We start from the raw sequence: 11868 nt of genomic DNA, 5'->3' as shown, positions 1-11868 counted from the left end.
AGCTGGGACTACAGGCGCACACCACCACGCCCCGCTAATTTTTGTATTTTTAGTAGAGACAGGGTTTCACCATGTTGGCCAGGCTGGTTTTGAACTCCTGACCTCAAGTGATCCGCCCACCTTGGCCTCCCAAAGTGCTAGGATTACAGGGCGTGAGCCACCGCGCCTGGCCTGCCATTACTTTTAAATGGCAAAAACCACAATTATTTTTGCACCAACCTAATAGTTGCTTTGCAGTCTTATCTCCTAGGAGCAAGCAGCCAAGCTATTTTTCTCTGGTCCCTGTATTGTTTATCACAGAAACAGGAAAAGTGTGTTGATTTCAGTCTCACCCTTCACTGCAACCTCAGGCCCAGTGGTTTCACAGAGCCTCGAGGCCTTCTGGGGGTGCTGAGAGCCCTCAGCTGTCTTCTCCACAGCACAGGTGTGCCGGGCTCTGTGAGGCTGCCTTCTCAACTGTGTCGACTGAAGAATGACAGCGTTCATACATTTGGAAAGGAGAGCCTTCTTTCTCACACGGGGTTGCAGCCTACAGGGTGGCAAGTGGGACAGGCTGAGAAGCATAGCCAGAAGCCAACACCTCAAGGATGGGAAGAATAACACAGGGATTTACGCTGAACGAGGTGGCCAGATATACATATTCAATAAGCTATTGGAGGAGTCATGAATATTTATGAATGGAGAAATAGGCCCGTGTGTAATTGTGCTTCCTGCTTCTCCACGGGACCCATGTTCAAAAAATGGTGGCATTAGCACGATTGGAGCATGGAGTTTTTAGCCCTCTGATATCAAAAGGTGACGCAGAAGACAGGAAGACCTTCACTGCACATCCTCTGCAGAATGGCCAGAACCACTCCACAGTTGGTGGTCTCCTGTCAGAAGGAGATGCTAATGGGTTGTTTTGTCAAAATCACAAAACAGTGCAGGGAGGAGCAGTATTAGGTGGTGGGTTAAAATCAGGCTGCTATGGCCGGGCACGGTGGCTCACCCCTGTAATCCCAGCACTTTGGGAGGCCAAGGTGGGTGGATCACAAGGTAGGAGATCGAGACCAGCCTGCCAACATGGTGAAACCCCATCTCTACTAAAAATACAAAAATTAACTGGGCATAGTGGCACGTGCCTGTAGTCCCAGCTACTCGGGAGGCTGAGGCAGGAGAATGGTGTGAACCCGGGAGGCGGAGCTTGCAGTGAGCCAAGATCGTGCCACTGCACTCCAGCCTGGGCGACAGCGCGAGACTGCGTCTCAAAAAAAAAAAAGTTTTTGGTTTTTGGTTTTTTTGATATGGAGTCTCGCTCTGTCACCCAGGCTAGAGTGCAGTGGCGTGATCTCAGCTCACCACAACCTCCGCTTCCTGGGTTCAAGTGATTCTCCTGCCTCAGCCTCCCAAGTAGCTGGGATTACAGGTGCCCATCCCCTCGCCTGGCTAATTTTGTATTTTTAGTACATATGGGGTTTCAATATCTTGGCCAGGCTGGTCTCGAACTCCTGACCTCATGATCTACACACCTTGGCCTCCCAAAGTGCTGGGATTACAGGCGTGAGCCACCGTGCCCCGGCCAAAAACGTATCTATTTAATTTTGCAAAAAGAAACATAAGAAGGGTAAGTCAGAAACGAATGAGATTAGTTTCCTACAGGGGATAGATAGATGGGAATGAAATGGAAGGGATAAAAAAGTAAAACGACACTTTTTAAAATATCAATGTTTTGACTCTACCTACAGAACCATTTAATGATTAATATATTCAAGAAATAATAAATTGACAGGCACAGTGGCTCATGTCTGCAATCCCAGCACTTTGGGAGACCGAGGCAGGCAGATTGCTTGAGGCCAGGAGTTTGAGACCAGCCTGACCAACATGGCGAAACCCTGTCTCTACAAAAAATACAAAAATTAGCCAGGCATGGTGGTGCAGCCTACTCAGGAGGCTGAAGCATGAGAGTTGCTTGAGCCCGAGACGTGGAGGTTGTAGTGAGCTGAGATCACGTCACTGCACTCCAGCCTGAGCAACAGAGTAAGACTCTGTCTTAAATAAATAAATAAATAAATAAATAAAAGCAACAAGGACTGGGAAGAATCCTCTTATACAAACAGAAACAATGAACCTAAATATATTTCAAATGAACAATTCTGAAACTTTCTGTGAATTGGACTGAGCAAAGGAGTAAATGTATCAAAGATGTTAGGAGCCAGATTTTACCCTTTGGAGAAGAGAGTTACAATATGGAACTGAAGACAGCTAGGCCAGAAACACCAAGGATTTTGGCAACCACCAGAACAGGAGAGCGGCATGAAACAGATTCTTCCTCAGAGCCTCCAGAAGGAATCAATGCTGCCAACATCTTGATCTTGGGTTTCTGGCCTCTACAACTGTGAGAGAATAAATTTCTGTTGTTTAAAATAGAAAGAAAGAGAGAAAGGCGGAGGAAGAAAGGAAGGCAAGCAAGCCAGCAAGGGAGAACCCTTTGGTGTTGGAATGGGACTAGAAATATGAAGTTGTTCTCTTAAATATATACACACACAAAAGAGGAAACTAAATAAATTAGATTGATTTTAAAACATATATCTATATACAGAAATAGATGCATGTGTTTATGTGTTTATGTGCGTATATGCATGTGTGCTCCTAGCTCTGCACACGGGAAGAGCCTAGAAGCAATGACATCTCCATGGGAATGATCACACCTGTGCCTCATGGAAAATAACCTGGCTCCTTGGAGAAATGCCTGATCGCAGGGCTGGGGCAGGGAAAGTACAATGGAACCCAGAACATCTTGATGTGCCATGAAATAAGAAAGTGCTCACAGTCCGGGTGCGGTGGCTCACGCCTGTAATCCCAACACTTTAGGAGGCCAAGGAGGGCGGATCACTTGAGGTCAGGATTTTGAGACCAGCCTGACGAATGTGGTGAAACTCCCTCTCTACTAAAAATACCAAAAAATATTACCCAGTCCTGGTGGCGTGTGCCTGTATTCCCAGCTACTCGGGAGGCTGAGCCAGGAGAATTGCTTGAACCTGGGAGGCGGAGGTTGCAGTGAGCTGAGATCACACCACTGCACTCCAGCCTCGGCAACAGAGCAAGACTCCGTCTAAAAAATAAAATAAAAAAAAAGAAAGTGCTCACAAAATAATGGGGATATGTCAAAGGATATGGGAAACAGCTGCCAGGATAAAATGCTGGACAAAGTTGGGATGATTAAAGCATCAAAATAGATCATGATAGTGATGGATTGTGACCCACTGAATAAAATAAGAATCCATGAGTTCACAATGATAATAAATGAATGAATGGATGAGAAGTAAAGCTCTTTCTTTTTTTTATTCTTTGTAGAGATGGAGTTTCACCATGTTGGCCAGGCTGGTCTCGCACTCCTGGGCTCAAGCCATCCTCCCACCTTAGCATAAGCCACTACTCCAGGCACAACTTTCTGTAAGTTTGAAACTATATCAGAATTAAAAGCTACCTCTCACAGGCTCACACACAAGCAAAACTAATACATGGATAAAAGGGCCCACTAAGTGCCCAGCATAATGAATGGAACAAGTCATATGCCAAGGCCTGTGTGGCAGTTGATTGTCCCCCCAACACACTTTGCCTTCTTCCTTCCTAATCGGCTCTGATTTTTAGTACCAGTAGATTTTTTTTAACTAGAACATGTAATACTTTAATTTTAAACATTAAAATTAACTAAAAGGCCGGACGCGGTGGCTCACGCCTGTAATCCCAGCACTTTGGGAGGCCGAGGCAGGTGGATCACCTGTGGTCAGGAGTTCAAGACCAGCCTGGCCAACATAGCAAAACCCCGTCTCTACTAAAAAAAAAAAAAAAAAAAAAAAATTAGCTGGGCATGGTGGCACACAGCTGTAATCCCAGCTATTTATAGGGAGGCTGAGGCAGGAGAATCGCTTGAACCTGGGAGATGGAGGTTGCAGTGAGCTGAGATCCCACCATTGCACTCCAGCCTGGGCAAGAGCGAAACTCCTTCTCAAAAAATAAAATGAATTAAAAGAAGAACGTGTGTTCCCCTAAATAAGAAAAAAATGAGTGTTGTTGAGTGAACGTGTGAGTGAATGAGTGAATCAGTGAACGGGGAGTGAGTGAATGAATGGACCGAACAGGTGAGCAAAATGAGAATGAACTGAGGCTTTCCCTCAAGTGCCAAGCCTTTTCATCTACAGTTCCCCTGCACCTGTAGCCACACCCACTCAGGGGAGGAGGTTCAGGATGCCTTTTTTATGGCGGACCACACCCTGGCAGCCAGGCTGGCCAAAGTGCATTTTCTCAGGAGTCCAGGCCAGGGGATCCCTGCTACTTCCGCCTCTCCATTGCCCCACCCTGCCCTTCCCCTGTTCTTGCAGAAAGACACACCAGCATGCTGGGAAGACAGCATCGGCCTGGCAGCCAGGTGACCCAGGTCCAGTGCCAGGCCTGTGCCTGGCTGGCCACGTGACTAGTGGTAAACATTTCACTTACTAAGGCCTCGTTTTCCCTGTTTGCTCCTTTAAGCAGTTTGGCCAAATCAGTGGTTCACAGTCTTGGCTGCACATTGAAATCAGCTGGGAACCTTTCAAAAGTTCTGGGGCTCTGATTGCATCCAGACCAACTAAATCAGACTTTATAGGGTGGGACCTGGGCATCCACGGTTTTTAAAGCTTCCCAGGTGACTTCAATGCACACCATGTTTGAGAGCCGGGGGGCTGCGATCTCCATAGCTCCCTCCAGCTTTTTTTTTTTTTTTTTGGTTTTTTGTTGTTGTTGTTTGGTTTATGGTTTTTTTTTAGTGTTTATTTATTTATTTATTTATTTATTTTTTGAGATGGAGTCTTGCTCTGTCACCAAGACTGGAGTGCAATGGTGTGATCTCGGCTCACTGCAACATCTGCCTGCCAGGTTCAAGCGATTCTCCTGTCTCAGCCTCCTGAGTAGCTGGGATTATAGGCGCACGACACCACACCCAGCTAATTTTTTGTATTTTAGTAGAGATGGGGGTTTCATCGAGTTGCCCAGGCTGGTCTCGAACTCCTGAGCTCCGGCAATCCACCCGCCTCAGCCTCCCAAAGTGCTAGGATTACAGGCGTGAGCCACCGCACCCAGCCAGCTCCCTCCAGTTTTTTGATGCTGAGGCCCACCCTGATGCCCCGTCTGTTTGCCCGTCTTTTGTCATTGGAGGGTTAAATGAAATGTGAGCGTTACCCGAACATCTGGGTTCCTATCTGTGCACCTCCTCCTGTCTTCAGCCTGCCTTTGAGGCAGCAGCCTCACTGGGGACTTTGACCCTCCCCACCCATTCTTCACTGAACCTCCTGCTCCAGCCTCTGCCTCCTCCATTTTGATGTCTAGAATCAGGGGATCCAGGATCATCACCAAGGTCATTTTCCCAGGTATGGAGGGGTCTTTCTGCTTCTTTCTTGTCATGCACAGCTGCTGAGGAAGGGGCTGGGAGTAAAGACAGTGAAATGGGGAGGAGGAGTCCATTCAAACCGAGAAACAAAGTGTTTGGTTTTTCTTACCCCTGGTGTAGAAGCTACCAACCTTTTCCAAGAAAGAGGGCCTGGCCCCCTTCTCGGGTCTGGCTGGGTGCCTGCTGTGCCTCTCTGGCCTCCCCTCCGAAGGGCACCATTCCCTCGGGTGAGTACTACCGGCCTGCACCGTCTTCCAGTGGGGACAGCCTGAGAAGAGAGTCTGGAGCCTTACTTCAGTACCTTCCTTCACTGGCCTCACCCTGTGCAAATCATGCCACACGCTGCAGCCTCCTTTTCCCTATCTATAAAATAAAAATGACCCTGCTCTATCTCACTGGGCTGGCAAGAACACACTGTTGTTACCTTGCAGACAGATGTGCTGAGGCTGTAGAAAGTGCTTTTTATTTGGTTGGGAGCTTGTGCATAAATGCGAGAGGGGCTGCACATCTGACGGACTAGAGGTGACTCATGGCTGAACCGGAACAGGACATCGGGGAGAAGCCAGCAGGTGAGTCTGGGAGTCCTGTTCCCAACATGGTCCTCAAGGAGGATGGGACAGGGGGCTGGGGAAGGCTGGGACACAGGTGATGCTGTGGCCAGCAGTGCCCTGTGGCCTCCGCCACTCTGCCAGTGGGGTAGTGAAGAGCAGAGCAACTAGACCAAAGGTCCTTTCAGAAGGAAGCAAGTGTCTATAGCTATAATAAATAATAATAGCAGCCAGCAATTACTGGTGCTCACAACTGCTAGGAAGTTGTACCTTCTGTGTACTTTCTCATTGACTTCTTACAATCTGGTGAGGTAGGATTGTTAACCTCATTTTCAGATCAGAGAGGTTATGTAACTTGCCCAAGGTGTCAAAGCTACTAAGTGGCAGAGGAATTCAGACCCAAATCTGCCTGAGTGCAAAGGGCATGCTTTGTGACCTCTATGAGACTCTGGCCGTTCACAGAGCTGACACATTGACCACAGAATAAAATGCTTTCAAACGTAGTGGACAGGGCAGGGAAAGTTCTCGGGCTGTGTGTTGGGTGAGTTAGCAGTGAGGCAGGAAGGCCTCGTTTCAGGTCAGGTTCTGGTATCTCTATCAGGTATCGATATCAGGTCAGGTACTGGCAGGTGGGCTGGGGCCCAGCTGCTACAGGGGCTGCCTGAGAAGGAGCCACAGCCCTGAGCCACCTCCAGGGCCCAGAATTGAAAGGCAAAGAGAAGACTGCAGATCCCCGCTCACTAGGGGAGGGGACATTATTCCTGTCCTGGGAAGGGGCTGAGTTGGGCAGGAGCGTCTCATCTCCTTGGAGGCATCTGGCAGGGTGGCACAAACAGGGCTGACTTCATAAGTCTGTGATCAGTGCAGCTGCCCAGGGCCTTGCATTCAGAAAGGCCCTGGGCTTGGGGTTCAACATTCTGTGATTGTTGACTTGAAATGTGTCATAATTTTAGCCCTGAACTTGTTTTGTAAGTGGTGTCCGATGGGACAATGGAGCATGTGCCAGGGTTGGGAGTTGGAGCCTCAGCTCATACATATGGTCTCCACACCCAGACCAGCCCCACCACTGCTGTAACCCTCTGCCAGAGTCCCTCATTCCGCTGTCACCTTTGCCCAGGCAAAACAAGGATCAGAAGTTGAGGAGTGGCAGGCAGCCCTGGACACTCTCACCCACCCCCATCCAGCTAGTTGGTGCGTTCAAGTGGGGAGGTCGCAATACCCTGGGCGTCACCCATTTGCCCTGGGTTAGAGCAGCGGCTGTGAGAAGGGGAAATTGGCTTCCTCTTCATTTTCCTTTTGCACTCGGCTTTGCAAATTATGTAGTTGGCCCTGGTCACATCCATATCTGGCCATTTACCAACCTGAACAAACTACTTCCCCTTTCAGCCTCAATTTTCCTGTCTGAAAATGAAAATAATAATGTGCATACCCCACAGGATTCTTTTGGGGACAGTGAGGCTTTTCTCTTTTCCAGAATGCAAGTCTGATTATGACAGCTCTCTGCTAAAAACCAGAATGGCTTGGTGGTGTTTTAGGACAAAGACCAAAACCTTTCATCTAGACTAATGCTGCCCAATAGAAATGTAATGCAAGCCACATATGTAATTTAAAATTGCTAGTAGCCATGTTTTAAAAAGTAAAAACAGGTGAAACTAATTTTAATAATATACTTTGCCCGCTATATGCAAATCATTATGTCAACATATAAGTATGAAAATTTTTTATTGCCTCCAAAATCCAGGGTATATTTTACCTTATCGTGTATCTTATCTCATGTGACAAGAAGCTACATAATTGGACTAACTGGCCCCTGCCAGCCTGTCTGACACTCAGTCCCCCCATGCTCTCTGCCCTGCAGCCATGCTGAACTCTCCACAGGGCCCTGTGAAAAGCTCTTCACCTCCTCTGCCCTCTGGATCTAGTGAAGCCTATTCATCCTTCAGATGTCAGCTCAAATAATCAACCTTCATGGAGGCCTCCCTTGACCCCTAACATGCTTTCAAAGTACTGTGTATTTCACATTCATCATGCCCCGACAACTGTGATTTCCCATTTATTAATATCTGTCTCTTCTGCTGGCCTGCAAACTCCAGGAGCACAGAGACATCTTTGGGATTTTTGAACATGATTTCCCCAGGGCTTAGCCCAGTGCCTGGTGCAAAGCAGGCTTTCAACATGTTCAGTGGATATTGTAAGAAAGAAAGAAATACACAAAAGGCCTGGCATATGCAAAGCACTCTAAATATTCACTCCTTTCCCTTCCCTCTGGGTGAGAAAATTTCTCCTTATAAAGACACCCTCCTAACTGTATCTCTGCTAGAGAACTGAAGACATAAAGCACTCTGTGCCAAAAATATTTAAGTAAAAACTTGAGCTAAGCACAGAGATTATAAATATTTCTTCCCCAGATTACGCACCATTTAAAAATACTGTCTCAGCTCCTTTTCATGATTTGGGTGGTGATTAAAGAAAATTACTCTTCAAGACTGAAAGTCATTACTGCCCTTTTCCTGACTTGCCTTTTCCCTTGAGAAGGGGAGGATAAGCTGCAGGGCAGGAAGTGGAAGTGGGGCATCCTTGTCCTTTGTCTGGCAGACAGCCAACTGGTCAGGTACTGCTCCTTCTCAACTCTTTCCTGATTCCCAGGTGAATATAAACAAGAAGGCACAAATCCACACTTGCCAACAACGGACCCAAGTGATAACAAGAAACCCAGTGACACCTGTCTAGGTGAAGACTCAGCCCCTATGTGACCAGGTTGCAAAGCCAAACTGACCATCTGCTTTCCATTTGGACTTTTAGTTCATACTGTATCTTCTCAGGACAGTTAAGTTGGAATACAATGCCACTGTCCTGAAAGATGGTAGAATTATCCTATTTCTGGAGGAGTGGGGGTGGTGGGTAGGAATCTCAAGAGCGATTTGCTCCTCTGCACAATAGCTTCTTTAAGGACACCAGGGCCCCCAGGGCTATACATTTCCCTGAAGCTTTCCAGATAAGCAACAAGGTATGAGCACCTGCTATGTATTGCCCAAGGGTGATGTGTTTAAATATCCATTGCATATTTTAAATCCTTGGCTGGCTTAAAGCTGCAAGCTTTCTGTCTTCAGTGGATATAATGGGGGCATACATCCCAGAGCTTGCCCAACACTCCAAGAAAAGAACCCTCAGCTAATGCAAAGTGTGTATGTGCCCATGAAAGCTCCATGTCTACTTAACATTCAGTTTTTAGGATTATTTATGCTGTAATAATAGATATGAAAATCTCTGACAGGTATTTTGTTTCCTTTACAAACTGTATTTGAATTTATGGGTGATTTAGAGCTTGTGTTTAAAGTCAGAATTCAGAACCCCAAAGAAAATGACTTCATTGAAATTGAACTGAAGAGACAAGAACTGAGTTACCAAAACCTACTAAACGTGAGTTGCTGTGAACTGGGGATTAAACCAGAACGAGTGGAGAAGATCAGAAAGCTACCAAACACACTGCTCAGAAAGGTAAGGGTTAAGAGTTTCTAAATGCAGAATCACAGTGGGTGACATCATGTTCTCTGGAGCCAATCGTTTACACTTCTGCATTTCATGACACCAGAAATCCTGGCTGCAAAACGGCCAAACATGGTAGCTAGGTCATTTTCAATCTGGCGCTTTTAAGATTTGCACATCTAATCCATAAACCTTTTAAAAACCTCTAAATGGTCCGATCACGGTGGCTCACACCAGTACAATCCCAGCACTTTGGGAGGCCGAGGTGGGCAGATCACAAGGTCAAGAGATCGAGACTATCCTGGCCAACACGGTGAAAACCCGTCTCTACTAAAAATACAAAAATTAGCTGGGCATGGCAGCGCGTGCCTGTAATCCCAGCTACTCAGGAGGCTGAGGCAGGAGAATTGCTTGAACCCAGGAGGAGGAGGTTGCAGTGAGCTGAGATAGCACCACTGCACTCCAGCCTGGCGACAGAGCTAGACCCTGTCTCAAAAAAAAACAAACCTCTGAATGACAAGTGACTCCCCAATTTAAGGCTTTAGTTCAGTGCTTTTGGCCCCACCAATCTCTGCAAAATTGACTGGTTAACATAAAATGGCATAGTCCTCAGGAAAAAAAAAAACACAAACCCATCCTTGTTTGCTTAGCAAAGGGTGGGTTTGCTAAGTATTTGAAATATTAGCAAACAAAAATTGTTTTGCATTTTTATATATTTCCCAGATTTAAAATACAGATCTTAATTTTTAATTTTGGAAAGGAAATCTTATTTCTTTGGAAATTTTTCTTTAAAGCTTTCAAAATTCCTTTGGCAATTTTTTTGTTTTTTGTTTTTTTGAGACAGGGTCTCTGTCACCCACAATAGAATGCAATGGCGTGATCATAGCTCACTGCAGCCTCGAAATCCTCAGCTCAAGTGATCCTCCCATCTTAGCCTCCAGAGTAGTTGGGACTACAGGGACACACCACCACACTCCATTAATTTCTTTTTTTTGAAATGGGTCTGGCTATATTGCCCAGGCTGTTCTCAACCCCCTGGCCTCATCCTCCTAAGTGCTGGGATAACAGGTGGTGAGCTGCTGTTCCTTTGGCAATCCTTACTGGTGTCTTGGCTTATAGTGTATATTCTTTGTAAACTAACATGTCAAGGGATGATCATGCTTTCCAGATACCTTAACAACAAAAATCTGCTGGGTGTGGTGTCTCATGCTTGTAATCCCAGCACTTTGGGAGGCCGAGGTGGGCGGATTGCTTGAGCTCAGGAATTTGAGACCAGCCTGGGCAACATGGTGAAACCCTGTCTCTACAGGAAAATACAAAAATTAGCTGGGTGTAGTAGACTTGGGAGGCTGCAGTGGAAGTGGAAGGATTGCTTGAGCCTAGGAGGTTGAAGCTGCAGTGAGCTGTGACTGTGCCACTGCACTCCAGGTTAGGTGACAGAGCGAGACCCTGTCTCAAAAAAAAAAATACAGAACTATCTTATGGGGACCGGGCGCAGTGGCTCACACCTGTAATCCCAGCATTTTGGGAGGCCCAGGTGGGCAGATCACCTGAAGTCAGGAGTTCAAGACCAGCCTGGCCAACATGGTGAAAACTGTCTCTATAAAAAATACAAAAATTAGCCGGGCATGATGGCGCATGTCTGAATCCCAGCTACTCAGGAGGCTGAGGTTGCAGTGAGCCAAGTGAGGCAGGAGAATCACTTGAACCTGGGAGGCGGAGGTTGCAGTGAGCCAAGATCGCATCATTGCCCTCCAGCCTGGGCGACAAAAGCAAGACTCTGTCTCAAAAAAAACAATACCTTATGGGTTCAGAACCCAAGATGCTGAACAATATTAATATTAAGGTTTTCTATTACATTCAAATTTATTAAGCATAATATAATTTCTTTTCTACATTAAGGACAAAGACATTCGAAGACTGCGGGACTTTCAGGAAGTGGAACTCATTTTAATGAAAAATGGAAGCTCCAGATTGACAGAATATGTGCCATCTCTGACAGAAAGGCCCTGCTATGATAGCAAAGCTGCAAAAATGACTTATTAAATACTCCCAGGAATGGCCGCGCATGGTGGCTCACCCCCTGTAATCCCAGCACTTTAGGAAGCCAAGGTGGGCAGATCACCTGAGGTCAGGAGTTCTAGACCAGCCTGGCCAACATATAGTGAAACCCAGTCTCTACTAAAAAAAATACAAAAATTAGCTAGGTGTGGTGGCGCACACCTGTAGTAGTCCCAGCTACATGGGAAGCTGAGGCAGGAGAATCACCTGAACCCAGGAGGCAGAGGTTGCAGTGAGCTGAGATTGCGCCACTGCACTCCAGCCTGGCGACAGAGCAAGACTCTGTCTCTCAAAATAAATAAATAAATAAATAATCAATCCCAGGAATTAAAAAACTGAAATCATTATTTCACAAATAATGAAGTCTGG

The 11868-nt window shown here is 46.5% G+C and overlaps 1 protein-coding gene and 1 non-coding gene across 10 annotated transcripts, besides 2 other annotated features; one reads left to right on the top strand and one right to left on the bottom strand.

Annotated features, from left to right (window-relative positions):
- Positions 1-4116: 4116 nt before the first annotated feature.
- On the bottom strand, positions 4117-4197 carry MIR8059 (microRNA 8059). Its single transcript, NR_107026.1, has one exon. It is a non-coding gene; the product is annotated as a microRNA 8059 (primary transcript).
- Positions 4198-5328: 1131 nt separating this feature from the next.
- On the top strand, positions 5329-11817 carry ANKRD40CL (ANKRD40 C-terminal like). 9 transcript variants are annotated; one of them, NM_001411123.1, is made up of 5 exons: positions 5329-5384; positions 5836-5973; positions 8599-8682; positions 9290-9450; positions 11341-11817. In NM_001411123.1, exons 2-5 carry the CDS (start codon positions 5934-5936, stop codon positions 11482-11484), a joined length of 429 nt encoding a protein of 142 aa, NP_001398052.1. In that variant the 5' UTR covers positions 5329-5384; positions 5836-5933; the 3' UTR covers positions 11485-11817. The 9 variants fall into 9 exon arrangements, 6 of the variants coding, with proteins under 6 accessions (NP_001398052.1, NP_001345612.1, XP_024306586.1 ...); NM_001358683.3 differs by lacking the exon at positions 8599-8682; XR_002958045.2 differs by lacking the exon at positions 11341-11817 and having other exon boundaries at positions 5329-5973; positions 9294-9451.
- Positions 6770-6859: an enhancer, noted in NCBI's record as "active region_12389". NCBI's record gives its function as "activates an Ori minimal core promoter by ATAC-STARR-seq in GM12878 lymphoblastoid cells {active_cell/tissue: GM12878}" and the evidence as "EXISTENCE:reporter gene assay evidence [ECO:0000049][PMID:35858748]".
- Positions 7160-7209: a silencer, noted in NCBI's record as "silent region_8711". NCBI's record gives its function as "represses an Ori minimal core promoter by ATAC-STARR-seq in GM12878 lymphoblastoid cells {active_cell/tissue: GM12878}" and the evidence as "EXISTENCE:reporter gene assay evidence [ECO:0000049][PMID:35858748]".
- Positions 11818-11868: the final 51 nt, after the last annotated feature.

The sequence above is a fragment of the Homo sapiens genome, chromosome 17 (assembly GCF_000001405.40).
Source record: "Homo sapiens chromosome 17, GRCh38.p14 Primary Assembly".
NCBI classification, from domain to species: Eukaryota; Metazoa; Chordata; class Mammalia; order Primates; family Hominidae; genus Homo; species Homo sapiens.
This window is presented reverse-complemented; position numbering and strand designations above follow the sequence as displayed.